Here is a 27,878-nt window from a genome sequence, read left to right as displayed (position 1 = left end):
CAGGAGAATCACTGGAATTTGGGGGCAGAGGTTGCAGTGAGCCAAGATCGCGCCACTGCACTCCAGCCTGGGCAACAAGAGCAAAACTCCGTCTCAAAAAATAAATAAATAAAATAAAATAAAAAGAGATATGGGCTGGGCGCAGTAGCTAACGCTTGTAATTCCCAGCACTTTGGAAGGCCAAGGTGGGCGGATCACCTGAGGTCAGGAGTTTGAGATCAGTCTGACCAACATGGAGAAACCCTGTCTCCACTAAAAATACAAAATTAGCCCGGCGTGGTGGCGGGTGCCTGTAATTCCAGCTACTCGGGAGGCTGAGGCAGGAGAATTGCTTGAACCCAGGAGGTAGAGGTTGTGATGAGCCAAGATCGTGCCATTGCACTCCAGCCTAGGCAACAAAAGCAAAACTCCATTTCAAAACAAACAAACAATAAATAGGCCGGGCGCAGTGGCTCACGCCTGGGTAATCCCAGCACTTTGGTAGGCCGAGGCAGGCGGGTCACCTGAGGTCAGAAGTTTGAGACCAACCTGACCAACATGGTGAAACCCTGTCTCTACTAAAAATACAAAAATTAGCTGGGCATGGTGGCAGACACCTGTAATCCCAGCTACTCAGGAGGCTAAGGCAGGAGAATCACTTGAACCCGAGAGGCGGAGGTTGCAGTGAGCCAAGATCGTGCCACTGCACTCCAGCCTAGGTGACAGAAGGAGACTCCATCTCAAAAATAATAAAATAAAATAAAATAATAAAATAAAATAAAATGAGATACATCAGAACTGGAAAGGTTTCAGAAAAGAACAATTTATATGAATTCAGGGTAGAAAAAATAGACTTCTGTGAGGAAAGGCTAAATGATTTGGGATCTCAGCCTAGAAAATGATAGGCCCGCAGGTGGCTTCATAAGTGTTTGAAAGGGAGTTGTTAGTTCGAGCTGCCAGGTGTGGAGTTGGTCAATTAGGACAACGAAGCAAGCTGAAAGTAACACAAAAGCTTCTTTTCATTCACTAAAACCTACAAGCAAGGGGCAAAAACAGGCCCCAGCTCCCCAGCGTTCCATTTTACAGAGCAGCACGGGACAAGGGTCAGACAGGAACAGTCTCATCGTCAAGGAGTTTCAGAATAAAAAGAATAAAAGCTCCTGCCTTTTTACAGACCTGACCTGAAGTGGGCTGTAGGGAGGCAGGGGAGAAGGGCTGAAATGAGAAGTACTGAGTCAAAGCGGAGAAAGGATAGAATGAGAGGTACTGCGTCAAAGCGGAGAAAGGATGGAATGAGAGGTATTGAGTCGAAGCGGAGAAAGGATCTCAGTCATTGCTCCCAGTAAGGAGGTCTTGGTAAAGGCTGTTGGAAACTGCCTCAGCCCAGGTCTCCAAATGGAGGTGCCCAGCTAGGAATGCAGGTGAGCTTAGGAACAGGGCAGTCTGGGGGCCTGGAGTCCTTGACTGCAACTCTCTCCGGAAACCTGCAATGCACAGGCGATGCACCAAGCTGGGGTGAGAGAGCAGCTTCCCTCCATGAGGACTGCCAGGCAAAAGTCTTGTGACTGCCAATGGTGAAGCCTGAAAGGTCACCCTTAGGATTTTGGCCTGGAGCCCGTATTTTTATTTTATTTATTCCTTTTTCAAGAGGGAGTCTCGCTCTGTCGCCCAGGCTGGAGTGCAGTGGCGCTATCTTGGCTCAGTGCAACCTCCACCTCCCAGTTCAAGCGATTCTCCTGCCTTAGCCTCCTGAGTAGCTGGGACTACAGGCGCTCGCCACCACACCTGGCTAGTTTTTGTATTTTTGATAGAGACGGGGTTTCACTATGTTGGCCAGGCTGGTCTTGAACTCCTGACCTCAGGTGATCCACCCGCCTCGGCCTCTCAAAATGCTGGGATTACAGGCGTGAGCCACCGTGCCCAGACAGTATTTTTATTTTATTTTTTTATTTTTGAGACGGAGTCTCATTCTGTCACCCAGGCTGGAGTGCAGTGGTGCGATCTCCGCTCACTGCAACCTCCGCCTCGTGGGTTCAAGCGATTCTACTGCCTCAGTCTTCCAAGTAGCTGGGATTACAGGTGTGTGCCACCACGCCTGGTTAATTTTTGTATTTTTAGTAGAGACAGAGTTTCATCATGTTGGCCAGGCTGCTCTTGAACTCCTGACCTAAAGTGATCCACCAGCCTCGGCCTCCCAAAGTGCTGGGATTACAGGCATGAGCCACTGTGCCCGGCCTGCAGCTTGTATTTTTACCAGCTAGAGTCTATCTGCGTCCAAAGCCCATATCCTTTCCAGGTAAAACCATTTTCTTTTCTTTTCTTTTTTTTTTTTTTTTGAGTGAGTTTCACTCTTGTTGCCCAAGCTGGAGTGCAGTGGCACCATCCTGGCTCACTGCAACCTCCACCTCCCGGGTTCAAGCGATTCTCCTGCCTCAGCCTCCTGAGAAGCTGGAATTACAGGCATGTGCCACCACGCCCGGCTAGTTTTTATATTTTTAGTAGAAATGGGGTTTCACCATGTTGGCCAGGCAGGTCTTATAAACTCTTGACCTCAGGTCATCCACCCACCTCGGCCTCCCAAAGTGCTGGGATTACAGGCGTGAGCCACCGCGCCCTGCTGGTAAACCATTTTCTTTACATCCTACTCCCAGGATCTGGCTCACGCTTCACCTTCTCTCACCTGGATCAGTCAGAGGCTCTCTGCCTCTAGGTTTCACATCTTTGACACACCCTACACAGACTCCGTTATTCTAGAACCCCAAGAATGACTTGTTCCTGCCTACCTAAAACCCTCTGATGGTGTCCTACCCCTAAGCCTGGTTGGCTAAAGGCCCTTCCTACTCTCCAGGTCTCTCCTTGTACTCTGCCCCTACCTCCGCAAGTATGCTATGCTCTGGCAGAACTGCCTGCCCCCGCCCCCAGCACACTGTGCTCCTTCACTCCAATCAGACTCTGCACACGCTGTCCCTTGGCCTGGGACGCCCTTCAAACTGCAGCTCAAAGCTCACCTCCCCCTGGAGTCTCCCTAGCTCTATGGGGCCAGGCACTTTGCACAGCCGTTATCACAGCCTTAATCACACTCCACTGTCATTGGCTGCAAGGTTCTGTCCAGAAGAGACATCATCTTTGCAACCTTGTTCACATAGGAGGTCTTGCTGAAGTGATGTTGTGAAATAAGCAAATGAAAAAAAAAAAAGAAAGAATGAATGACTATTCCATTCCAATTCCGGCTCCTTTCTGTTTCCCTGACATGTCCGTAGCCTGCCCAACCCCAAACACACACAATCTGAGAGCGAAACTATTGGAGCTGCAGCTTATCTGGGGCAGTAGCTGGGATCTGTCTGTCCTGGAGCTTCCCTCTCAGGAGGGTAGCCCACAAGCAGTGCCCACACCCTGAGAGTCCTTGCTGCTGAATATCTGGAAAAGGAGGATCCCTACTGGTCATGGACAGACAGCTGCACCGCAGTGACCATCAGCAATTAATTTTCCAAATCTGAATGGAAAATGTTTACCCTTCTCCCATGAAAATAACACCCTGGCCTCTTTTCTGATTAAAAACTTTATTTTCAGAAGCAGAACTGTTTTTAACACAAAGTTCAAGGAAGCAGTCTGTCCAAAAAGCCCAAATTCCACCTTTCTAAGTGGCTGCCTCTAGACTAACTCCCTTTCAAAGGCTCTAGAACTTTCAAGCAGGGTCTAGAAACTAAGCATCCTGGATTCCTACCCCCGAAGCCCCATCTTTAGAGCTCTCTTCCTGGGGTTTGGACGACTGCCACTCCAAGCTCAGACTTGGTGTCCCAACTTCTCTCCCTTCTACACCTTTACGACAGTTCTATTTCCACAGGAAAGAGACAGCCCGATCTGCCTTCTGAAGAGGCCGTTTCCATGGGAAACAAGAGAGGAAGGGGCTCTGGCAAGCAGTGAAGGCGCCTTCATAGGCAGCAAAGCCGCTCCACCTCCTCCTCACAGTCGTAGAATTTTTCGAATAGCTCAGGAGAAGTGCTGTTGCATTCAAACCACCTCCTCAAGGTGCCCAGGGCCCGGAGGGCATCAGCTTTGGTGGGCAGGGGCTCAAAGGCACCCTCTCTGTCCCCCTTCTCGTCTTCAGTGCCTATCTCCTCCTTACATACTCCAGACCTTGGCTCCTCACCCTCCAGGTCCACAAAGCGGGAAAACTCCTCCAGGCTCAGCCCGCCGGGGACTGGTGGCATCTCAGAGGTTTTGTGCGAGGACGGGGGCGTTTTGCCGGGAGCCAGCCCTTCTTGAATGAAGCTGCTGAAAATGAGCTGAGGAGGCACCTTGGCCCAGGCGGCAGACGCCACGTGCAGGGCGTCCAGCACGGTGATGCCTGCCCCGGCCTCGGCCAGCGAGGTGCCATCCCTCTCGCTTTGGATGGCAGCCAGTTTGCCCAACAGCCGGTGTCGGTAATGGGCCTTAAAGGCCCGGACCACTGAGCTGGGCAGGGGAGGCGTGGTGCTAGAGGCGGCCAGAGGCAAGAGCTTCACGTGGTAGAGCCCAGGCAGGCCTGCCAGCTCCTCCACCACTCGGGCAGCCAGCAGCAAAGCCACCTGTCGGCCCTGCTGTCCCATGTCCCGGTCAAACTGTGCCAACCACTCTAACCAGGGGATGCCCAGGTCCGGGTGGTAGGAGGCAGGCAGAGCCTCACTGCGGATCCCAAAGAAGCATCTCGGGGCAGCCTGGAGCCCACCCAGCAGTACCCGCCGCTTCTCGGTGCCCCTGCTGTTGGCACACAGCAGCACCTGTACTTGATCACATGCACCAAAGCTGCCGGGCACTGCCCGATACAGCAAGGGCAATTCAGCACAGCCAAACACGTCCTCTGGAGAGAAGTCTTTTAGGGAAAGAGGCAGCTGAGCCTGGGATGTGAGCCCCGGGGGAGGTGGCTCAGGGGGGAATGAAGGCGCAAGAACATGGCGGGCCCCAAAGCCGACGTTGTTTCGGCGTTTCCAGCGGACCAGCCAGCCGATGCTGGGCACGAAGTCCTGGCCCATGATATCGGCCAGCTCCTTGGCTTTGTGGAGCAGCATGGGCCCCGTCACGTCCCAGGCCTTGGCCCGGGCAATGTGGTACCAGCAGAGCAGAGCCTCGTCGATCCCGCTGTACTTGGACTCCCGCTTGCGCTTGCGCTCTCGGTTGGCTGTGCCGCTGCACCAGTCCGCCAGCAGCTTCTCCTTATTCTTGCAGATGCGCGAGATCTGGGGCTGGGAAACCTGGAAGCGCCGGGCCACCTCCGACTGGGACATCTTGGACTCATCCAGGAGTTCCAGCACCTGGATCTTCTCGGCCAGGGACAGGGCGTGAAGCTTCTTCTTGCTGCTCAGCTCCATGGCCTCTCCGGGGCACCTGTGCGGGGAGGAAAGATTGAGCGGGTAGAGTAATCTGAGGCCGGAAGAGCTAGGAAAGGAGCGCAGGAGGGAAAAGAGATTAGATGAGGACTTGCGCAGGCACCGGGTGAGACTGGACCCGCTGAAAGAGGAAGTGGCTAGGCCGAGTGGAAGCCGGCTGGCCCCGTCCCCAGGATGCCAGGGCAGAGCTGGGGAGGGGGCGTCTCTCCACTCAGAAGGACAGGGGAGTCTGGGCTGGGGTCTGGCCTCACTCGGGAAGAAGGATGAAAAGTGCAGGGGACAGCTGCAGAGATAACAAAGGCATACGGACGGGGGAGGGCCTGGGACTGGGGCCGAGGGGGCAGGTGTGGGGCTACGGGGCTGCGGGGGAGGAGCCCCCGGGAGGGAGTGGGAGGCGGCTTGGGCTGGATTCAGATGACGCCGCTGGGGGGTGGGAGGTGGGTGGATGCACACAGAGTTGAGGTGACAGGTGTACAGACGACAAAGGGGACAGAGGGTGTCTGAAGGAGCGAGGCTAATTTGGTGCCGGGTCCTGAGAGGGAGGCTAGGCGACGGTCAGTCCTGAGGGGAGCGAGAGGGCAGGGCCGAGGGCGCAGGTGCACGAGCGACAAAGGGCGGGAGGCCTGAGGAGGCTGCGGGCAGCGGAGGGGCGGGGTGTCCCCGCGGGGAGGGTGGTGGCCTGGGAGGGTCCCAGGGCGCGGGAACGAACGCCCGGACCCAGGCAGGCCGGCAGCCGGACTCCGTGCCCTGGCCGGTCACTCCCCCTCGACCCGGAGTATGTCGGCGGGGCGGCCCCAGGCGCCCGCCCGCCCGGCCTCCCGCTCCGCACCCACCTCAGGCGCTGGTCCCGCGGCTCCAGCCCCTGCCCCCAGCCCGGCTCCCGAGCCCCTGTCCGGGCGGCGACAGCAGAACAGGGGAGGGATGGGCGCCACGACCCCGAGGGCAGAGCGGACCGAGGGCCTGCGCGGACGGCGGGCGGGCGGGCGCGCGCACAGCAGAGTCCCGTGCGCGCCGCCCGCGCCGGGCTCTCTCCCGGCTGCGAAGTCCGCGGTGCGGCCCCTCTGCACCCACCCGCCGCAGCCCCGCCCCGGCCCAAGCAGATTGGTCCTCAGTGGCGCCCCGTCCCTCCCCCGGCTAAGTTTCATTGGACGTTGCGGAAGTGGCGGTTCGTCGAGCCCCTCTGGGGGCGGGGCTTCTAGCGCGGAGGGGCGGGAGGCGGAGCCAGGAACCAGCAGGACTCCCCTGGGCGCCTCCAGCAGCCGCCGACCCCGAGGGCCCGACGAGCCCTGTAGGTGGTGTGGTGACCGCCGAGCTGACTTGGCGTCCCAAAGCCTCCCTGGCCGTGACCCTAGACCGCATCGGCTTCTTCGTCTACCAAGCAGGGCTAACAGCCCTCACGGAATTGTTTTGGGAAAACGATGAAAGGAGAAAATGGATGCAAGCTTTAAGCCACACAAAAGCTGGTTACCATGGACAGCGCTGGCTCGAGTCTGTCGGCCACGGAAACACTGCATGCTTGGGCCAGTAATGATTTAGGACGAGTATTTTATTAGATTTGGTACTTTACAAGATTCAAGTTCTTAAACTCAAGATCTGGCATCGTTCCCTTCCCTGCTAACCTTCAGTCCCGAATTAAACGCAGACGTCTTGACCCGCAGCCCAGCTGCTCTCCAGCCTCGCTGCTCCCTCCGCTCACAGCTCCGCATCCTCTGCCTTCCTCACAGGCTTCCGTCCGCACCCCCGTCCTACCGGCTGACACTGTCCAACTCTCCAAGACCCATCTCAAATCCTACCTCCCGCAAACCCTTCCTAAATTTCCTCACCTAGGCCTGCTACAGCGTTCTTATTTTCCACATTTCTTTTCTGGCTCTCGGACTACTCAGCTGCCAAAGCGCATCCATTGCTGTACTCCCTCTCTGCCTGGCCTACTTCAGTGGAAAAGCATGAGGACGGGCTGCGCTCTGCTCCTCACACAATCCCCAGCCCAGAGCACCCTGCTTATTTATTGAACATAACAGTGCAGGCCGGCCTAGGCTTCCCATAGGCAAGGATGACTTTCAGAATGTTCTAGAAAAAAGGATACTTCAGGGGGCCCATAACTGCTTGATTCAAATCTTTCCTTTAAAAACATAAAAACAACAGTTGGACTTCTAAAACACACACTGAAGACATACGCGCTGCCACGTAAGCTCTCCACATGTTCACTTTGCCTTCAGGGAAACTGTGTGCACATCAACGTGCCCTGGGAAAGGCTGCAGGGCTGCACTGCGGGCAGTTCAGATCCTAGAGCACTTGCTCTGGCCTGGGAGCGCTGCAGGCAACTGAAGCCACACAGACCCTGCTCCTGCAAGAACTTTTGTGTGTGTCCCATGGTGATGTCATTAGTTTGCTTATTAATTATATTTATATAAACTTCTGGTCCTGTTTTAAATGTCTGAGATTGCAAGGTCAACTGTTATAAACCTGTCATCACTTCCATCTATGTATCCAAGACTAGGAGAATTCTCCAAATCAACTGAAACATAAAAATAGATGTTAAAGTTGATTTTAACCCAAATTTTGTATTGATCAAAACAGCTTCATTGTTCTTTATAACAAAGAATTGTTATAAACTTGAATTTATGTAACAAAACAAAATAACCAATTTTATATTCGCTTTACATATTGGGGTTCCACAAAAAAATTTTAATTTGGGGGGAAAAAAGCTGTATTTCAAAACATTAAAAAAAAAAACCACCATCATGGAAATCTTAGGATGAAATGGCCTTCTTAATGGAGAAAGGCAGGAGATAAACCATCCAGCAGAGGGCTCTGTGTAAAAACATTTATTTTTACTAATGTTTAGAATACAGGAACTAAAGAAAGAAAAAAAAAAGACACCTCAACTCCAAAGCGACAGTGAGTTAGGGCCTGCCCACGGCCAAGGGGGAAGGCTACTCCAGGGTGTCCTGGCATGGACTGTCCCCCCACTACTTAATGTCAGTGCCACTAAGCAGAAAACTTGAGGAATCAGGGTGTGAAGACCTTACCAGCTGCTAGCGAGCGTGCAAGGGAAGAAAGGGATGTCTATGTGGCTTCCCCATGAGCTGAGAGCCAGGATACACGGGGCAGGTGGCAGAGGCTCCCAATTCAGTTAAGAGCAGGAGGCTGAATGCCCAGGTCCAGGAAGAACAAAAAGGGGATTTTGGAGGTAGGCTTTTTTGTTGTGTTAAAAAACAGGCACATTATCCATCTCCTTGTGGCCCCCGAGCTGCTGGCCTGGCCCCCTGATCCTTCCCCTCTCCCCACAAAACCAAAAGGAGTAGGAAGGGAGGCAGAAGATGAGAAATTCCAAGGGTGGGGAATGCTTCAGTCACTGGAGACCGACCGTAAGAGTGAGCCAGGAGAGCAATGGGAATAACAAGGTGAAGCTACTGTTCCCCCTGGGGTGGGGTGGAATGGGACAGGGCAGAACCAGGAGGGTGACCGAGAACATCCTGACTCCAGAAAAGAACACTCTGTAGCAGGAACACAGGGCCGCAGAGAGCCACTCTGGAGGAAAGAGGTGAGGCTATGCGGCACAGGGGCATGAAAAGCTCCTTGTGGACGTGGCCTCAGCTTGCTCGCTCCCAGCTCCCTGGCCTGGCTTGCCTCTAGAGGACAGGAAAACTCTGGAGACCAGAGGGGAGGCAGAACACAGAGAAGTGAGCTGCTCTCCCACTCTTTCTAGGAGGACACTGTTTGAACCCTGTGATCACCAGGGGCTGGGCCCAAGGCAAGCAGAGTGAATGCACTTAATGGAGAGCAGAGAGAAACTGGGCCACACGCACGCCTAGGGGCAGTGTGTTGCTCCTTTCTCCCTGAGGGCCTGGGGCCAGAGGTGGTCAGAGCTGCCACCTCAGCTTGCAGCTGCCAAAGGCAGGCTGGCACAACCACCCCAAGGTTCTCTGGATTTGTGAAGGAGAGGAGGAAGAAGGGAAAGATGGGTATGAAATATGAAGTGGAGGAGAGAAACAGCCTTAGATATGTCGGGGAGCAGGTGGGTGGCCACATCAAGAGGAGTTCTGGTTCTGGTAGATGGAAGCTTTCTCTTTCAACAGGTCCAGACACAGGTGGCAGCTCCAACTTCCTGCAGAGAGGCAAAATGGGGTCAGGATGGGTCCCACACAATCCCCACCTGCTTGCAATTCCTCTGCTCTTGATACCCCATCTCTATAGCAGGATCAGCTACAGGTAGGACGAGGGATGCTCTGCAGCAGGAAAGTTCCATGGTTTCCTGAGCTGGGATAAACCTCTAAGTCTTCAAATATTATGAAATATCATCCTCTATGGAGATGAAAGAAATAATCATCTAGAGGACTTCAGAATACTGATGCCCAGGCCCTCTTGGCCCTATTAAATCAGAAGTTTTGGGAGTAGGAAGAGGGCCTGGGAAGACAGAAGTTTGTCAAGCACCTCAGTTTTAAGACTTGTGTAGTTTCACTAAAAAACACAAAATAATTGTCCCTTATATGAAAAACAATTGGGTCATTCCTTGTTTATTAATATTGACTATGGCTGAATTCTTCTAATTTTTTTTGAATAAAATTAGTCCTTAATGCCTTGAAATGATAAGCAAAATTATACCTATGCGCATTTGGACATTATTCTAGGGCTTTTATCAGCTCTTCAGAAACAGGTGACTCAAAAATGTAAGTCCTTTCTAACCCAAAGGTCAATACGGTTGGCAAAGTTTTCTGTAAAGAGCCAGAGTGTTAAATATTTTAGGGTGTGTGAGCCACATACAGTCTCATGCATTTTTTTTTTAACTCCCTTTATTTTTTTTTTTTCTGAGACAAGAGTTTCCGCTCTGTTGCTCAGGCTGGAGTACAGCAGTGTGATCTCAGCTTACTCTAACCTCTGCCTCCCAGATTCAAGCAATTCTCTTGCCTCAGCCTCTATAGTAGCTGAGATTACAAGCGCACAGCACCACGCCCAGCTAATTTCTCTATTTTTAGTAAAGATGGGGTTTTGCCATGCTGCCCAGGCTGGTCTTGAACCCCTGGGCTCAAGAGATCCCAAAGTGCTGGGATTACAGATGCGAGCCACAGTGCACAGCCAGTTTTTATATTTTTAAGGGGATTTTCTTCAGGCTAGATGCAGTGGTTCACACCTGTAATCCCAGCACTTTGGGAAGCTGAGGTGGGTGGATCACTTGAGCCCAGGAGTTCGAGACCAGCCTGGGCACCATGGCAAAACCCCGTCTCTACTAAAAATACAAAAATTAGCCGGGTGTGGTGGCATGCCTGTAGTCCCAGGTACTCAGGAGGCTGAGGTGGGAGGATTACCAGATTACCTGAGCCCGGGGAAGCAGAGGTTGCAGTGAGCTGAGATCATGCCACTCCACTCCAACATGGGCAACAGAACAAGACACTGTCTCAAAAAAAAAAAAAAAAAAGAAAGAAAGAAAAAGAAAAAGAGAAAAGAAAAGAAAACAAAACAGCTTGCAAGCTATTTAAGCTGGCTGTGGCTGGATGTGGTCCATAGGTTTTAGCTTGTAGCTTGCTGACCCTGACCTAGAACATCTGATACTTCTAGGGGTTGCCCCTCAGCTGCCTTAACACTACAGTGAGGACACTCGGGCCTGCAGCTCTCCACTACCTCGATGTCCCACAGAACTTTAATAGGAAAGCCATTCTGTAACATAGATCATCTGTTTGATGGTTTAAAAAAACAAAACAAAACAAAACATAAACATGCGACTTCTCCCCAAAGCAGATTCATAAACTGGGCCTGACAGAAGCTGAGTACTCCCCTACAGCTGCTAAAGGACTCTTAGACATTGTCAGGGGCCTCATTCTCTAGAGGGGTGACAGCAGTTTGACCGATATGTTACAAGTCAGCTTACATCACACAATGAAACACTTTCTCTTGCCTGTAATGCTGGCCCACATCCTTTGTGCACAGTAACAGCTCCTGGGCATTTGTGTTCTGAGTAAGCTACTGAATTTCTGTTGGCTTTTTTTTTTTTTTCTTTGAGATGGAGTCTCGCTCTGTCGCCCAGGCTGGAGTGCAGTGGTGCGATCTCGGTTCACTGCAAGCTCCGCTTCCCGGGTTCACGCCATTCTCCTGCCTCAGCCTCCTGAGTAGCTGGGACTACAGGCGCCCGCCACCACAGCCGGCTAATTTTTTTGTATTTTTAGTAGAGACGGGGTTTCACCGTGTTAGCCAGGATGGTCTCCATGTCCTGACCTCGTGATCCGCCCACCTCGGCCTCCCAAAGTGCTGGGATTACAGGCTTGAGCCACCGCGCCCAGCTGCTACTCAATTTCTGTACAGGAGGTGTTTATGTACAGAAATCCAGCTGGAAGGGGACTTGTGGAGATGCAACCAATTCTTGGTGCCACCACTGGTTTCAGTGAATAGCTTTAATAAATTTGGACCATTATTACAGTAAGTTATCGGAGAAGCAGACTGACCCATTCAGGCTCCAAAGTCAAGTCCCTTCCCAGTTCAGAAGGGGAAGGGATAGGAAATAAATGCTCAAATCTATCAAATTTCAAGAGTTGACTGCAGAAGTTTCACATCAGATAATCTACCACTTGAGTTTTCTGGACTGGTTGGAAGAAAATAAATCATTCCTTCTGGGTGCCTGATCTCGGCTCAGCATCTGCTTTCTTCTGGGCTGTTGATTTTCTGTTGTAAATGTAGCTGATAATGTGCAAACACTAAACCCTTTAAGTTGAAATGTTAGGAAGGCATTCTAAACTGAGCCAAGGCAAGGTGCTTTACTCCCTAATTTGGAAGAATATGTAAGTGATAACATAAAGAACATAGAACTCAGTATTTTCCAAGTAACTAATAAAGTAATTGTTCTGAGTAAAAGATCTGGGCAACTTACCTTCAGGGGGCTCAGACATGGACGGGGTGAGACAGTACATGTGGTAGCCACGATCGCAGTCATCACAGAAGAGCAACTGGTCCTGAAGTAGGCAAGAGGGAAGAGGATGGGGACTGAATAACTGATGTGCCTCAGGCCACTACAGGACACTGCTATTTCCAAGAGGGGTAGGTAGCAGGTAAGAACAGATGTGAGAATCTTATGTGGGAAACCATGCTGCCCCTCTCCACCGCAGATCCAGTCACTGTCATTTCTCACTTGGGTCCTTTCAGAGCTCCTAATTGATCAAATCACCTCCACTTTTTTTTTTTTTTTTTTTTCCCTAAAGCCCAAGCTCTATGGTATATTTTTTTGAGACAGGGTATTGCTGTCACTCAGGCTGGAGTGCAGTGGTGCAATCACGGCTCACTGCAGCCTTGACCTCCTGGGCCCAAGTGATCCTCCTACCTCAGCCTCTCAAGTAGCTGGGACTATAGGCACACACCACCACACCTAGCTAATTTTTCAATGTTTTTGGAGAGACAAGATCTCCTTACGTTGCCCAGGCTGGTCCTGAAATCCCAGGCTCAAGCAATCCTCCCACCTCAGCCTCCCAAAGTGCTTGGATTACAGGTGTGAGACGCCGTGCCCAGTGACTATTTCTTTTTGAGACAAGGTCTTGCTTTGTTGCCCAGGCTAGAGTGCGGTGGTGTGATCATGGCTCACTGCAGCCTCAAACTCCTGGGTTCAAGCAATCCTCCCACCTCAGCCTGCCAAGTAGCTGGGACTAACGTGTGTGCCACCACACCTGGCTAAGTGTTTATTTTTTTTGTGGAGACAGGATCTCCCTATGTTGCTCAGGCTGGTCTTGAATTCCTGGGCTCAAGTGATCCTCCCGCCTCAGCCTCTCAAGTGTTAGGATTACAGGCATGAGCCTCCATCCTTGTCCCTACAGTCTACCCTCCACACGGCACCCAAAGTCATCTTTTTAAAATATAAGACAAGGGCCAAGCACGGTGGCTCACACCTGTAATACCAGCATTTTGGGAGGCTGAGGCAGGTGGATCACCTGAGGTCAGGAGTTGAAAACTAGCTTGGCCAACATGGTGAAACCCCGTCTCTACTAAAAATTAGCCAGGCGTGGTGGCGGGCGCCTGTAATCCCAGCTACCTGGGAGGCTGAGACAGGAGAATTGCTTGAACCTGGGAGGCAGAGGTTGCAGTGAGCCGAGATTGCGCCATTGTACTCCAGCCTGGATGACAAGAGTAAAACTCCATCTTGAAATAAATAAATAAATATAAAATAAAATATAAGACAAGGCCAGACATGGTGGGTTCATGCCTGTAATCCCAGCACTTTGAGAGGCCAAGGTGGGAGGACTGCTTGAGCTCAGGAGTTTGAGACCAGCTCAGCAATATGGCAAGACCCTGTCTCTACCAAAAATATAAAAAAGTAGCCAGACATGGTGGTGTGCATCTGTGGTCCCAGCTACCCGGGAGGCTGAGGTGGGAGGATTGTACTGCTTGAGCCTGAAGGGAAAGGTTTTAGTGAGCTAAGATCGCGTCACTGCACTCCAGCCTGGATGACAGAGAGACTCTGTCTCAAAATAAATAAATAAATACATAAAGAATAAATAAATAGCTGGGTGCAGTGGCTCACGCCTATAATCCCAGCACTTTGGGAGGCTGAGGCAGGCGGATCACCGGAGGTCAGGAGTTCGATACCAGCCTGGCAAACATGGAGAAACCCCATCTCTACTAAAAATACAAAATTAGCCGGGTGTGGTGGCACGTGTCTGTAATCCCAGCTACTTGGGAGGCTGAGGCAGGAGAATCACTTGAACCCAGGAGGCAGAGGTTGCAGTGAGCTGAGATTGTGCCACTGTACTCCAGCCTGGGCGACAGAGCAAGACTCCATCTCAAAAAAAAAAAGTAAATAAATAAATACATAAATAACCATGTCACTTCCCGAGTAAAACCCTTCAACAGTGTCCTGTTGTACCTAGAATAAAACCCGAGGCCCCAGAGATCTGGCAGTGCTTGCCTCTCTCATCTCATTGCCCACCATACTCTCCCATGCCCTGTCATCTGGCTTGTCCAACATAAGGCCTTGGCGCTGGCTGCTCCTTTCCTGGGATTCCTCTACCTCCAAATCTTGACTGGCTCCTTGGTATCACCAAAATTTCAACACCAGCATCACCCTCCCAGAAGAGCCATACCTGACCATCAAAATAAATCACTTATGCAATTATTCTCTGCCACAGTACTGATTTCGTTTTTTTCATGGCACATTATACAAATCTCATTTACATCCTTGCTTATTGTTGTTCCTGTAAGAATGTAAATCTCATGAGGCAGGGACCTTGTTTGTCTTTAGCATCTTTAGTGACTAGAACAGTGTCTGACATAAAATCAGCACTCAATATATATCTGGCAACAAATCAGAGTTCTGACTGAGATGCTAGGGAGGGGCGTGTGGCATGTGGGAGGGATCCTGCTCCCTTTTTAAAAGAAAGCTCACTTTAGAGGGAACTGTGCAAACAGCAGTAAAAGCCCAGAAGGAGCCATGCTGAGGAGGGGGCGGGGATACACACGTCATTCTCGGAGGTGCCGCAGATATTGCAACATTTGCACTCGATGCACTGCCAGCGGTATGTCTTCACTGCCGCCATCATCACGGGGGTAAATTGGAGGCAAGATGGATGCCCTGTAGTGGGGGAAGTGAGTGAGACAGACAGTCGGAAATGCGGGGGGAAGAGAGGAGCTCCTGCCTGTGGCTACATCTTCTCTTGGTTAGGAAAAGCGAGGTGGGCTGGTTATGACAGCCCTAGAGGCCAGCAAGCCAAGAGCCCCTTGGGGACTGGGCAAAGCAGCAGCCTTCACGGGAAGCAGTACCTGAGCGGCCACAGTCAGAACAGGACACCAGCTCCTCGGGTTGTCCCGTCTTCTTGTTAATCTTTGAGTCCCCCAGGCAGAAGTCACAGTAGTTGTTGGGCAAGGCCAATCCATCAGGACCCTTTTTGGCTACAGAGAGAAAGAGTTTTGATGACACCCATGGGGGTCCCTGAGCCACTCAACACCCATGCAAGGAGTGGTTTTCATAACCAGGCCAACTTCTGCTTGCCCACCACTTCTGACACCTCAGCTTACATTTCTGCTCCTCAGACCTCTGGGAAACAGGAGTGGGTGGTTGAGAGTCTTCCTTGTCCTCGCCCTCCTCCTCAGCCAAGTGGGAGTGGGCATAGTGGTAACTGAGGCCTGGTCGGTTCTTGTAACGTTTTCCACAAACTGAGTGGGAAGAAGATTGCAGAGAAAGGTGTTAGGATACAAGAGTGCCATGTCCCCATCCCTGCAAGCTGTGGGGGCTCCACCTGAGGCAGAGGGCAACCATCCCTTCCCCTAGCAGCTCCACTCTGGGACAGGCCTTGAGTGACGGCCACTTCCCCTCAGCCAGGAGCATCAGGCCGTGGGGCTCTCTAGCTTCTGGGGCTCTTTTCCCTCCTGAACTCCAACCCCATGGCCACCACTGCTCTTCCATGTTGACTTTTGGGGGGCTTAGCCCTTGCCCCATCACCAGTTAGTTGCTCTGGGATATACTAACAGTCTGGGACGCTCCAGGTCAGGAAAGGGAAGGATATTCCTATATCTTTGGGGTGGCAGGAAGGGGGAAAAGTGGATAAGACTCCAAACTTTTTTACCCCTCAGTAAATGTGGGAGGCTCATGCTACCCCACACACCATGGAGCCCATCTCCCCTGAATGTGGGTAAACAAGCAGGGGATGGGTTTCTTGGGGATAGCCTATCAATGAAGCCAGTTGGGCAGTTGGTCCCCAAAGAAATTCAAGCACACTCCCATGTAATTGCCCTGTCCAGGCCTGCCAATCAGCAAGGAAAGCAGATCCCCATGAGGCATTTTGTCATCTTGAGAAGTAATACCAAGAAGGGCAAGGGGGCCAGCAGGAAAGGAGTGGGGAGAGAGGATGGCAGGAGGAGGTGGTGGGGCAGTGGGGAACATGAGCTGACCACCAGCTGCCTGGTCTGGGGAGGGAGCGGAAGGGTCTGATTGTAATGGGCTCCTGATAATGCTTCTGAAGCCACCCCATGCACTGGGCCGAGCAGCTCTAGGAGCAGGTTTGTGGGAAACAAGCAGTGGTAAAGGCAGCCTTCAGGACTTTGAGGAGTAGAGCACAGCAGAAATTCCACTGCTCCTACCCCCATGCCATTCCAGAGATTTTAAAGCTAGCATCCCAGGAAATGAGAAAGGCAGGAGGAACAAGGGAAGAGGGAAAAAGGGAAAGGAAAACCACAAGTCTGAAAAGTTGAGAGAGCTACCTCTCTGGGGCGCTTTCGAGGTATGCTTTTGTTTGAAACTATCTGAAAGACAGAAAGAAAAGTCATGAGAAGAAGGCCTTGATACACTTGAGACAGGAGCAGCAGCAGCAGGAAAGCAGAGCAAACGAGAGAGAAACCCCAGCGGCGATGGTGCTCCCAGGGTGGAGGGACAGAAGTGGGGCAAGGCAGACAGAAAGAAAAAGAGAACAGACGTTGAAAAACTCAGTGTCAGACCCCTGGGGCCCTGGCTTAACTGAGGCCAGGAGACCTGCAGGCCATCTGTTGAGAGGCCAACCCTGCCTGCTGTGGCCCCCACAAGCAACCCTACCCCAGAGGATGGCAGAAATCTTTCCCAGAGCATGCAGGTCCCACCCGTCATATAGCAGGGACCCAGGCCTCCCAGGGGTCTCAGACGGAAGCAGTCAGCAGGCAGGACAAGAGCCCAGGTTTGTTTTAATACTCTGGGCAAAAACACAACCCTCCCTCCTCTCATATCCAGAGCAGGAGCTGGGTCCAAGGCAAGGTCTACCCACCCACTTGTGAGGCACTCACTGTCACAGGCATAGGGCTTATCCCGGTCCTCCAGGATGGAAGCATCCAGCTTCTTACGGGCACTGCCCACACCCTTACCCTGCCAAGAAGAGCAAAGAGACACCCTTATTTTGGTAGCTGGGCCTGAGGAGTTAGACTCTTTTGGAAGTGGCCGCTAATCTCACTTGAAATAAAATAAGGAATTCCCTAGGCCACCCTGTCCCAAGATGCAGGCAGCACGCTGGCCCCTCACCTTGGATTTCCCCTTTCCCCGACGCTTGGGAGTATCTTCTTCATAGTCTTCATCATCGAGGTCATCCAGGAAGTCATCTGGTTCTAGGATCCGCTGAGTGGACAGGAGGGTTAGCATGGGTAGAAATATGTGCATCCAAAAGCTCCCCTATGATGAGACTGGCCAAGGCCACCCAGAACCTCCTCTGTGACGTGGTCCCACCCACACCAGCCTCATTCCTCACCAACGCCTTTCAAGCATGCTATAATCCTGCTCCTGCTCCCTTCCATACTTTGGGATATCTTTCCCCTGTGCTTCACGTTATTTCCTTAGCCTGAAATGCTTTCCCCACCATGCCACATGGCCAAATCAAATAGCATGCTTCCAAAAGGTTGCCCTGATGCCACAAGCAGCCATGCCCTCTCCTGCCTCTGATTGGCCACCCTGGGAGCACATTATTGGTGGTTCTGTCCTGACACTCGCCTCCTAGTTTAAATTAAAATGTTGTTGCTTATTTGTGTGACCTTGTGGGAAGCTTTTTTTTTTTTTTTTTTTTTTTGAGACAGAGTTTCGCTCTTGTTGCCCAGGCTGGAGTGCAATGGCGCAATACTGGCTTACCGCAACCTCCGTCTCCTGGGTTCAAGCGATCCTCCTGCCTCAGCCTCCCAAGTAGGTGGAATTACAGGCATGCGCCACCACACCTGATTAATTTTGGATTTTTAGTAGAGACGGGGTTTCTTCATCTTGGTCAGGCTGGTCTCGAACTCCCGACCTCAGGTGATCCAACTGCCTCGGCCTCCCAAAGTGCTGGGATTACAGGCGTCAGCCACCGTGGCCGGCCATGGGAAGTTTTTTTTTTTTTTTTGAGATGGAGTCTCGTTCTGTCACCTAGGCTGGAGTGCAGTGGCGCAATCTCGGCTCACTGCAAGCTCTGCCTCCCGGGTTTGCGCCTGAGTAGCTGGGACTGCAGGTGCCCACCACCACGCCTGGCTAATTTTTTTTGTATTTTTAGTAGAGACGGGGTTTCACCATGTTAGCCAGGATGGTCTCGATCTCCTGACCTCAAGATCCGCCTGCCTCGGCCTCCCAAAGTGCTGGGATTACAGGCGTGAGCTACCGTGCCCGACCCATGGGAAGTTTTTAAACTGCTTTGTTTCAGCCTCTGTGTGAAATGGGGAACACAGGACCTACCCCATAAGGTTGTACAGACTAAAGGAGAAAGGGCATGAAAAGGCACTTAACCCAATGCTGGCATATTTATAGCTGTTATTTTTACATGTATTCTTATCTTCTCTGTTGGCAGAGACTAAGTGTGCTTCACTGTGTAACCTCAGGGACCAAAAAACTGTGACACAAACTTTTGTGATAAAAGAGTAAAGCACTTAGGGATAAAAGTTTGTTTCCCTCCCTTCCCAGACAGGGTCTCCCTCTGTTACCCAGGCTGGAGTGCAGAGGCATAAGCAGAGCTACAGCTTCAATCTCCTGGGCTCAAGCAATCCTCCCACCTCAGCCTCCTGAGTAGCTGGGACTGCAGGCGTGTGCCACCATGCCCAGCTAATTTTTTATTTTTATTTTTAGTAGAGACAAGGTCCTGCTATGTTGCCTAGACTGAAAAGTTTTTGAAGTTTCCTCTCAAATAGTTTAGCAAAGACAGATAAGGCAAATGTGGCAAAATGTGGAATTGATAAATCTAGGTAAAGAGTATGTGGTATTTCATTGTACTATTCTTGCACCTTCTGGTTTTAATTTTTTTTTTTTGTTGCCCAGGCTGGAGTGCAGTGGCATGATCATGACTCATTGCAGTCTCGAACTCATAGGCTCAAGTGATTCTCCCACCTCAGCTTCCCTAGTAGCTGGGACAACAGGCGCATGCTGCTATGCCTGGCTATTTTTTTTTAATTATTATTTTTTTGTAGAGATGGGGTCTCACTTTGTTGCCCAGGCTGGTCTCGAACTCCTGGACTTGAGCAATCCTCCTGCCTTGGCCTCCCAAAGTGCTGGGATTACAGGCATGAGCCACTGCATCTGGCCTATTTTAATTTTTTTAATGAAAATTATATATGTGTATAATAATAACCTTCTGTGATAAAAGTGAATGAATGAGAGTCTATAGTTAGAAGCAACAGAGAAGCCAGTCAGTACCTGACAATAATCAGGGACTGAAGTAAGAACAGAACTGCAGGGGCCTGCTTCCTGGACTCCAGCTTCTGTTTCAGTTCTAGAAACTAGGTGGCCCCCAGTGAAGAGGAGGCTGATTTCCATCAAAGCTCCCTTAGCCACAGGGATAATCCTGTACCTTTCGCGCTCGACTGTTGGTCACAGGAAACTCGCCCAGGCTGTCATCATCAACTCGGGGATCCGGGGCACCTCGCTTCTCCAGGGGGTCAGTGCGCAACAGAGCCTCTAAACTACTGCCATCCTGAGAGATCAGCCCCTCCTTCTTCAGGGTCTGGTCTGTGTCTGCAAGCAAGGTCAGGATAAAGCAAGGCTCAAAAGGGCTGAAAGCAGACTGCTCTGAGTCCACATAATGCTGGGGCTTACCAAAGGTCTGTCACTATCTTTTGTTCTCTGCACGCCCAGGAATTAAGACACCCTAGTTCACTTGGCACCATAACTTATCTGTTTACCTGTCTCCCCTTCTAGACTGAGGTCCTTAAAGGAAAGAATCACATCATATTCATTTGAGTATATTTGGGATCTAGTACTGGGCCTGGTATATCACAGTGATTAGCAGGCTCTCACCATGCAGCAGGCCACGCCTCTGCTCAGGAAGTATGTGCCTTACCTGGCTTAATAGATGGGAAGGAAAGTCGTGGATCCTCAGGGGGATGGGCTCGCCGCTTTTTCCGCCAGCGCCGGGCAGGGTAGGAGTACAGCTGTCCGGAGGCCAATCCTGTGGCAGGAAGAAAGATAGAAGTCAGGCCCTAACCCAGTATTAGAAAGTAATACCAAACACTTTCTAATTAAGTAGGCCCCCCTTTGAGTTCTAGAGCAAGGGAGAAATTCTGACAGTGAGGGCCTAGGGGGTTAGGTGGAATAGTCTGTGGAAAAGAAAAATAGATATATAAGCTTCAGGGCCTTGGCTAACACATAGTTCTCCAGACACACAATGGCCTCAGCAGGGCAGAAAACAAAGATGCTGGTATCAAACATCTGCTTCATCCTCCCTGGGTTTCTAATCACAGGAAGACCATATTCATCCATAGGTGGAAGGCAGTAGGGAAAACCCTATCAACTGTCTCATCACCTAAGATGAGGAGGCTTCTTCCTCCTTATGCTCCTGAGTCCCCTTCTCCCAAGTCTGGACCCTCACCTGGACCCCGGTGTCGCTTTTCCATCCAGATGTAACAATTGCTCTGGGCTACTCCGGTCTGTGAGTCCAAGAAAGGCAGGCGCACGCTGCGCTCAGCACAGAGGCGAGCATTGTAATTGTGGCACTGCTCCATGGCATCTTTGTAGTACTGCTCCCCAAGGCTGCAGGGAAGATAGAAATCAGGCGTGTATGTTGGAGCGGGGGGCATAGGGTGCTGAGCTATTCCTCTCCCCTGCCATCTGCTTCTCTAGAAGGCTCAAGGGACTGGGTGGCTGTCTCTTCCGTTCTATTTGCCTCCACTTCTGCCTCATGGGACACGAAGCCCCTTTTCTAGGCCATCATGAGGAATTACTTTACAAATAAATTACCATCAGGAACACATGATTTCATCATATGTCTAATCAGACTTAAGTTTAACCCCCAAAGAGGTGAAAGAATGTTCACTCCACGTGTCTCACAAGCCCACCCCTGTGCTAGTTAAGATGCTATTTCTCTTAACCCTTATGAGGCTAAGAAGCAGATGATAGTCCCTCCTAAGTTCCTCCTTATTCCCTCTTTCCTAGAATCACCTCCCAAATAAACTACATGCTCCCACATCCTTGCCCCAAGGTCTGCTCCAGAGGGAAAGAGTTCAAAGTCTAGGGGACTTATTAAAATGTATTTAGCAAACTATGGTAAATCCATACAATGAAATTCTACTTAGCCATAAGAAGGAAGCTCTTCACATACTGATATTAAACAATTTCAAGTTAACTAGGGACAAAAAGCAAAGCAAGGTACACTGCTGAGAAGCGTCAAATAAAACTATCATTTATGTAACAAAATGGAAAAGAAACTGCAGGTCAGCGGGGAGAAAAAGTGGGTGACTAGGCCACTTCCTTCCATATGCCTTTTTATATCTTTTGAATTTTGAACTAGGTTTTTAATCAACTAATTAATTTTACATTTATGGAAGATGTCTACAAGTACCTGAAGTTCCTTGAAGCTTTTATTGAGCACCATCACTCATAAGAAACTTGTTTGCTCTAAGGCCCATCTTAGGGTTCTTCTCCATTCTCACAAAATAAAATTATATAGGAAAAAATCTTCTTGGTCTCAAAAGACTCAATTTGAAATCTGAATCAAGGGTAAATCTTTAAGTGGAAAACTGGAAAACTGCACAGTGCCAGGAGTTATCTGGTTCTAAGAAGCGTGTATATAGAACCTATCTTGTTCTCATCTTGCAGGGTTTAACAAGGACTTTGGTAATGGAGGTTAACAAACTCGATCTTATATTCAATCAATCTTGTTTTTTTTTTTTTTTAAGAGACAAGGTCTCACTATGTTGCCCAAGCTGGACACAAACTCCTGGCTCAAGTGATCCTCCTGCCTTAGCCTCCCAAGTATCTGGGAATAGAGGCATGTGTCACAGTACCTGGCGTCAATCAATCTTAAACCAAGGGCAGAATTGATTTATTTCTCATAGTATCCCTAATACTCATGACGATGTCTGAGATACAGTCAGACTTGACTTGAGAGTAAAAAGACCTGGCTTGCCTGCAAGTCACACGAACATGGACACTTAGTCAGCCCAGGTGGACCTTGGTTACTCTTCTATAGATTGAGGAGGTTGGACCAAATGAGCTTTGACATATCAGGATTTTACAAGAAACAGCCTGGGGATGAGACAGCAAACAGATTAAGTCTCTGTGGTTTCTGTCCGTAACTCGGGCTACACCAACAAACCCTGCTCTAGAATGTGACAGGGTCCTTCAGTGAGCAGCCACAATAGACCACTGCATAACTTAGCATGTGCCCAGCAAGTAAAAAAGACACATACGACACACAGAGACGGCAATGCCACAAATATAGCCTGGCGTGATTCAATGAGCTGTAATGACTGTAATCTGAGGTAGGCACGAATCTCACGTTGGAGAGCAGAATGGAGAAGGCAGCCTTGCCTCTGTGGGCTCGCCTTTAGGAGGCAGCCACGTCTTCACCACACAGAATAAAATTGGATAAACAAGGTTGAGTGCGGCAGCTCCTTTGTTTCTGCTGATGGGAATTGATACGGACACTGGAAGTCAAATGGAAGGCAGGGCCAGGCTGGCGAGTGCTGCAAAGTCAGAGCAAGGAGGCTGGAAACAGTTTTGCGGGGAATGAATGAGAGATGTTCTGTCAGGGCTCTTGTGAGCTACATAAGGCAGGCAAACAGTCTTGGGGGTAAAAGGGCTGGGAAGGAAACACTGAAGTGTGGGGGGAGAATCTCATGAAGAGAGAACAAGACAGCATGACAGTGAGCTCTTAAGAACTTAAGGGAGGCCGGGCACAGTAGCTCATGCTTATAATCCCAGCACTTTGGGAGGCCAAGGCTGGTGGATCTCTTGAGACCAAGAGTTAGAGACCAGCTTGGGCAACATAGTGAGATCCCATCTCTACAAAACGTTAAAAAATAAAAATAAAAAAGGCCTGGCGCAGTGGCTCACGCCTGTAATCCCAGCACTTTGGGAGACTGAGGTGGACGGATCACCTGAGGTCAGGAGTTCGAGACCAGCCTCAACATGGAGAAACCCTGTCTCTACTAAAAATACAAAATTAGCCGGGCGTGGTGGTACATGACCATAATCCCAGCTACGGGGGAGGCTGAGGCAGAAGAATTGCTTGAACCTGGGAGGCGGAGGTTGCGGTGAGCCGAGATTGCGCCATTGCACTCCAGCCTGGGCAACAAGAGCGAAACTCTGTCTCAAAAAAAATAAAATTAAAAAAAACAAAACAAACAAACAAAAAAACCATCAGCTAGGCTTAGTGATGCATGCCTGTGGTTCCACGTAGCCCCTGGGGCGGATGAGGTAGGGGAATCATTTGAGCCTAGGAAGTTGAGGGTGCAGTAAACCAAGGTTATACCACTGCACTTCAGCCTGGGGGACAGAGGGAGGCTCTGTCTCTTAAAACAAAAAAAAGCAATAACAAAAACTTAAGGCTCCGATACCAAGAAATGTCAAGTTAACATTAACATTGTTCTCTCTCTCTCTCTCTCTCTCTCTCTCTCTCTCTCTCTCTCTATATATATATATATATATATATATATATATTTTTTTTTTTTTTTTTTTTTTTGAGATAGAGTCTTGCTTTGCCGCCCAGGTTAGAATGCAGTGGTGCAATCTCGGCTCACTGCAGCTTCTGCCTACTGCAGCTTCTGCCTCCCGGGTTCCAACGATTCTCTTGCCTCAGGCTCCCGAGTGGCATGCGCCACCACGCCCAGCTAATTTTTGTATTCTTAGTAGAGACAGGGTTTCACCATGTTGGCCAAGCTGGTCTCGAACTCCTGACCTCATGATCCGCCCACCTCGGCCTTCCAAAGTTCTGGGATTACAGGTGTAAGCCACCGCGCCCTGCCTCTAGATTTTGCCTAGAAAGTTTCAAAACCAATCAGCAGCTACAGCTATACTATTATTTTACTTTCCTAGTAAGAACGCTTAAAGACTTTCTCTCTTTTTTTGAGACGGAGTCTCGCTCTGTCGCCTGGGCTGGAGTGCAGTGGTGTGATCTCTCCTGGGTTCAAGCGATTCTTCTGCCTCAGCCTCCTGAGTAGCTGGGACTACAGGTGCACGCCACCATGCCCAGCTAATTTTTGTATTTTTACTAGAGACGGGTTTCACCACCTTGGCCAGGCTGGTCTCAAACTCCTGACCTTGTGATCCGCCCGCCTCAGCCTCCCAAAGTGCTGGGATTACAGGCATGAGCCACCGTGCCCGGCTTCTTTTTTTTTTTTTTTTTTTTTGAGATGGAGTCTTGCTGTTGCCAGGCTGGAGTGCAGTGGTGCGATCTTGGCTCACTGCAACCTCTGCCTCCTGGATTCAAGTGATTCCCTTCCCTCAGCGTCCTGAGTAGCTGGGATTACAGACACACGCCACCATGCCCAGCTAATTTTTGTATTTTTGGTAGAGTGGGGTTTCGCCATGTTGGCCAGGATGGTCTCAATCTCCTGACCTTGTGATCTGCCCGCCTCGGACTCCCAAAGTGCTGGGATTACAGGCATGAGCCACCGCGCCCAACAGCCTCTTTCTTTTTTTTAAGAAAGAGTCTTAAAAGTGTCACTCAGGCTGGAGGGCAGTGGTGTGATATCAGCTCACTTCAACCTCTGCCGCCTGGGTTCAGGCGATTCTTGTGCCTCAGCCTCTCAAGTAGCTGGGACTACAGGTGTGCGCCACCACACCTAACTAATTTTTATAGTTTTAGTAGAGATGAGGTTTCACCATGTTGGCCAGGCTGGTCTCAAACTCCTGACCTCAAGCAATCTGCCTGCCTCAACCTCCCAAAGTGTTGGGATTATAGGCGTAAGCCACTGCACCCAGCCAAGACTTTCATTTCTGACATCACATTCGGAAGGGATAGAAATTTACAAATAAGAAAATTCTTTTCCCAGGACAAGATGCAAGTCATACAAGATGAGGGGCCGGGCGTGGTGGCTCACGCCTATAATCCCAGCACTTTGGGAGGCCGAGGCGGGTGAACTCCTGAGGTCAGGAGTTCAAGACCAGCCTGGCCAACATGGTGAAACCCCATCTCTACTAAAAACACAAAAATTAGCCAGGTGTGGTGGTGGGCACCTGTAATCTCAGCTACCCGGGAGGCTGAAGCAGGAGAATTGCTGGAACCCGGGAGGCGGAGGTTGCAGTGAGCCAAGATCGTGCCACTGCATTCCAGCCCGGGCCGACAACAGTGAGACTCTGTCTAAAAAAATAAAAAAAAAGAAAAGATGAGCTAGTGGTCCTGACCTCAATGTACTCAATGTATAACATCAGCTGTCAGAAGACTAGGCACACTATAATCAAGAGAAGTGCCATATCTCCAAATGAACTGGAAGAATAGAAGCCCCTTCTTAAAGGGATAATTCTGTGGGAGTACGTATTAATTGTGATCTGAGGCCCTGTGCAGCTAGAAATGAGGAGGAGAGAGTTGGTTTCTCATTACTGGCATTCAGGAATTAGTGGCTGGTGATGCTCACAATCTCTACAGTTTTTCAAAGAGAAACAAGATGTCACGCTCTGTTTAAATGGGCAACCCCTCACTTATGACACAACTTGAAAGCACTGGCAACCCTATTTCTCTGAGGAAAATCTTCCAACACGAAGAACCTCACTACGTTTAACTCCCAAAACCTAGGCAAGTCTGATACTCCCCCAGTACAATGAGAATCTTCCTTTTTATTTTTGGAGAAACCTGTGTAAAACATCCCCTTACAATGGGATGAGGGAAGTCAACAAAGACGCAGGGAAACAAAGAAAGAACATCTGAGTCAGGAAGGATAACTGGATAAATGGTAGATCAACAGTGTCATTTCTAAATTGAGAAAAATGTCAGCCTGAAGAAAGAGCTGGGGAAACTGGAGTGGGCAGATCAGAGAGAAAGACAATAGCGTTGGGAGGAGGGGTGGCTGAAAGAGACAGCAGGATAGAGCAGAAAGCAACTTAAAAAAAAAAAAAACAAACCACAAGAGGAGGAAAGGCACTTAGCTTAATGGAAGTGGGAAAGCATTCTCAAAGAAAAGGCTTCAGGCAGGAGGGAGAAGCAACTTACTCTTTAAAAAGGCTCTTAGGAAGAGTGGGGCTCAGGCCACGACAAAGACAGATGAGAAGCTGTGAGTCCCTTAGAAGAGTTACCGAACCTTTACCTCGTCATCCAGTCAAAATGCAAAAACCCTGACTGGACAGCTAGACACCACTCAATTTTCCCACCCTTGCACCAAGCCCAACATACCCATTAAAAGAAGCTCTATTCGCCCACCATGCATTAACCCAATCTAAAACTCATTCTGATTCTTCTGTAGGAATAAATCAAGTCCCAAAGCATCTTTAACTCACAGGAAGCAGTTCATAGGCCAGCGTCCATGGCCCCAACAGCTATTAACTTTAACTTTGCTTGAAATCTGACCAGCACAATGGTATCGTATAATAGGAAGAATGCCCACCTAGATGCCCCTTTAGGCTAAGCTGTCCTGAACGGCTTCGGTCCAGTTGCAGGTTTTTGATGGCTGCTACTGGACGGGGCCAAGGCCCACTCCCCTGAAGTTCCTTCCCTTCTGGATCCGCTCCTCGATAAATTCTTCCCAAGAATATTTGTAGTCTTAGGTACCTGCCACCCAAGATCCTCCCAAACATCACGGGGCTGCCTGGAACTGAAACAGCCAGCCCCGCAGTGCACTCCGCAGGGGCCGCCGAGCCTGTTGCTGCAGCGAACGGGACGGGACGGGGCGGGGTGGGCGGCGGGCCAGCCGTAGGGCCGCCCGGGCCTCGGCCCCGCTCCTCCGGACTGAGGCGTCTCGGGAGAGGACCGGGACGGTGAGTCTCGCGTGCAGGCAGGGCGCCATGCTCTGGAAACCGTCAGCCCCGAGGAACGCTGAGGCCACACAGCCCCGCAGGGATGCCGCCCGTCGGGGCTCCAGTGTGCCCCCACCAGGGCCTCCACAAGTTTCCAAAGAAGCGCAACGTCTTCTCCGGAGTCTCCTGTTGCCCTCCCCACCAGGAGTCGCAACATGGCTTTCCCGGGGATGTCCCTCTCTCCGCCTAGTCCCTTCCCCCACCGCCCCCTACTCCCAGGCCCTTTACAAAACCTGCCGCCCTAGGAGAGAAAGAAACGACCACTCACAGCTTCACTACATTCTCCACCACAGCCGCCATCTTCCCTGTTCCTCTGCCTCGGGCCGAGAAGCCCCACAGTCCGCAGCGCGCAGGCGCCGGGACCGCACCGGGGTACCAGGTTCCTTGCCCTCTGCGCAGGCGCCGTCCGGGCGCGCGCACTAGAGCGAGCACTGAAGAAAGAGCTTTACGCCTGTTCGCGGGGGCCGGGTAGGAAATGCGTGGACCCCACGGGAGCCCGACGCGCAGGCGCAACCGGAGATTGGCATGCATCCCGGAGCTCCGGTTCGAGGCTTGCCTCTAATATTTAGAGGAGCAGGAGCCGGGGCCGGGCGCGGTGGCTCACGCCTGTAATCCCAGCACTTTGGGAGGCCGAGGCGGGCGGATCACGAGGTCAGGACATGGAGACCATCCTGGCTAACACGGTGAAACCCCGTCTCTACTAAAAATACAAAAAATTAGCCGGGTGTGGTGGCGAGCGCCTGTAGTCCCAGCTACTCGGGAGGCTGAGGCAGGAGAATGGCGTGAACCCGGGAGGCGGAGTTTGCAGTGAGCCGAGATCGCGCCACTGCACTCCAGCCTGGGCGACAGAGCGAGACTCCTTCTCAATAAATAAATAAATAAATAAAGGAAAAAAAGAAAAAGAAAAAAGATTAGCTGGGCATGGTGGT

At 50.7% G+C, this 27,878-nt stretch overlaps 2 protein-coding genes across 5 annotated transcripts, besides 8 other annotated features; both read right to left on the bottom strand.

Annotated features, from left to right (window-relative positions):
* Positions 1-3,522: 3,522 nt before the first annotated feature.
* TIGD3 (tigger transposable element derived 3) lies at positions 3,523-6,385 on the bottom strand. Its single transcript, NM_145719.3, has 2 exons — positions 6,179-6,385; positions 3,523-5,343 (listed from the first exon to the last, which is right to left on the bottom strand). The coding sequence occupies exon 2, from the start codon at positions 5,325-5,327 to the stop codon at positions 3,912-3,914; it is 1,416 nt and encodes a 471-aa protein (NP_663771.1). The 5' UTR covers positions 5,328-5,343; positions 6,179-6,385; the 3' UTR covers positions 3,523-3,911.
* Positions 5,678-5,867: a silencer, noted in NCBI's record as "silent region_3521". NCBI's record gives its function as "represses an Ori minimal core promoter by ATAC-STARR-seq in GM12878 lymphoblastoid cells {active_cell/tissue: GM12878}" and the evidence as "EXISTENCE:reporter gene assay evidence [ECO:0000049][PMID:35858748]".
* Positions 5,928-6,097: a silencer, noted in NCBI's record as "silent region_3520". NCBI's record gives its function as "represses an Ori minimal core promoter by ATAC-STARR-seq in GM12878 lymphoblastoid cells {active_cell/tissue: GM12878}" and the evidence as "EXISTENCE:reporter gene assay evidence [ECO:0000049][PMID:35858748]".
* Positions 6,108-6,167: a silencer, noted in NCBI's record as "silent region_3519". NCBI's record gives its function as "represses an Ori minimal core promoter by ATAC-STARR-seq in GM12878 lymphoblastoid cells {active_cell/tissue: GM12878}" and the evidence as "EXISTENCE:reporter gene assay evidence [ECO:0000049][PMID:35858748]".
* Positions 6,188-6,507: a silencer, noted in NCBI's record as "silent region_3518". NCBI's record gives its function as "represses an Ori minimal core promoter by ATAC-STARR-seq in GM12878 lymphoblastoid cells {active_cell/tissue: GM12878}" and the evidence as "EXISTENCE:reporter gene assay evidence [ECO:0000049][PMID:35858748]".
* Positions 6,598-6,657: a silencer, noted in NCBI's record as "silent region_3517". NCBI's record gives its function as "represses an Ori minimal core promoter by ATAC-STARR-seq in GM12878 lymphoblastoid cells {active_cell/tissue: GM12878}" and the evidence as "EXISTENCE:reporter gene assay evidence [ECO:0000049][PMID:35858748]".
* Positions 6,874-27,284, bottom strand: DPF2 (double PHD fingers 2). Of its 4 annotated transcripts, none has more exons than XM_017018101.3 (12): positions 26,541-27,284; positions 20,591-20,751; positions 20,063-20,170; positions 19,574-19,737; positions 17,299-17,391; positions 17,067-17,145; positions 16,515-16,556; positions 15,333-15,470; positions 15,078-15,206; positions 14,777-14,889; positions 12,205-12,286; positions 6,874-9,453 (listed from the first exon to the last, which is right to left on the bottom strand). In XM_017018101.3, the coding sequence occupies exons 2-12, from the start codon at positions 20,721-20,723 to the stop codon at positions 9,377-9,379; spliced, it is 1,158 nt and encodes a 385-aa protein (XP_016873590.1). In that variant the 5' UTR covers positions 20,724-20,751; positions 26,541-27,284; the 3' UTR covers positions 6,874-9,376. The 4 variants fall into 4 exon arrangements, 3 of the variants coding, with proteins under 3 accessions (XP_016873590.1, NP_001317237.1, NP_006259.1); NM_001330308.2 differs by having other exon boundaries at positions 27,218-27,284; NM_006268.5 differs by lacking the exon at positions 16,515-16,556 and having other exon boundaries at positions 27,218-27,284.
* Positions 23,694-24,194: an enhancer, noted in NCBI's record as "H3K4me1 hESC enhancer chr11:65104413-65104913 (GRCh37/hg19 assembly coordinates)". NCBI's record gives its function as "activates a minimal SCP1, AML or CMV promoter by ChIP-STARR-seq in naive H9 embryonic stem cells {active_cell/tissue: H9 hESC(naive)}" and the evidence as "EXISTENCE:reporter gene assay evidence [ECO:0000049][PMID:30033119]".
* Positions 26,843-26,932: a silencer, noted in NCBI's record as "silent region_3516". NCBI's record gives its function as "represses an Ori minimal core promoter by ATAC-STARR-seq in GM12878 lymphoblastoid cells {active_cell/tissue: GM12878}" and the evidence as "EXISTENCE:reporter gene assay evidence [ECO:0000049][PMID:35858748]".
* Positions 26,983-27,032: an enhancer, noted in NCBI's record as "active region_4953". NCBI's record gives its function as "activates an Ori minimal core promoter by ATAC-STARR-seq in GM12878 lymphoblastoid cells {active_cell/tissue: GM12878}" and the evidence as "EXISTENCE:reporter gene assay evidence [ECO:0000049][PMID:35858748]".
* Positions 27,285-27,878: the final 594 nt, after the last annotated feature.

Source organism: Homo sapiens, chromosome 11 (assembly GCF_000001405.40).
Source record: "Homo sapiens chromosome 11, GRCh38.p14 Primary Assembly".
Lineage (NCBI taxonomy): Eukaryota > Metazoa > Chordata > Mammalia > Primates > Hominidae > Homo > Homo sapiens.
This window is presented reverse-complemented; position numbering and strand designations above follow the sequence as displayed.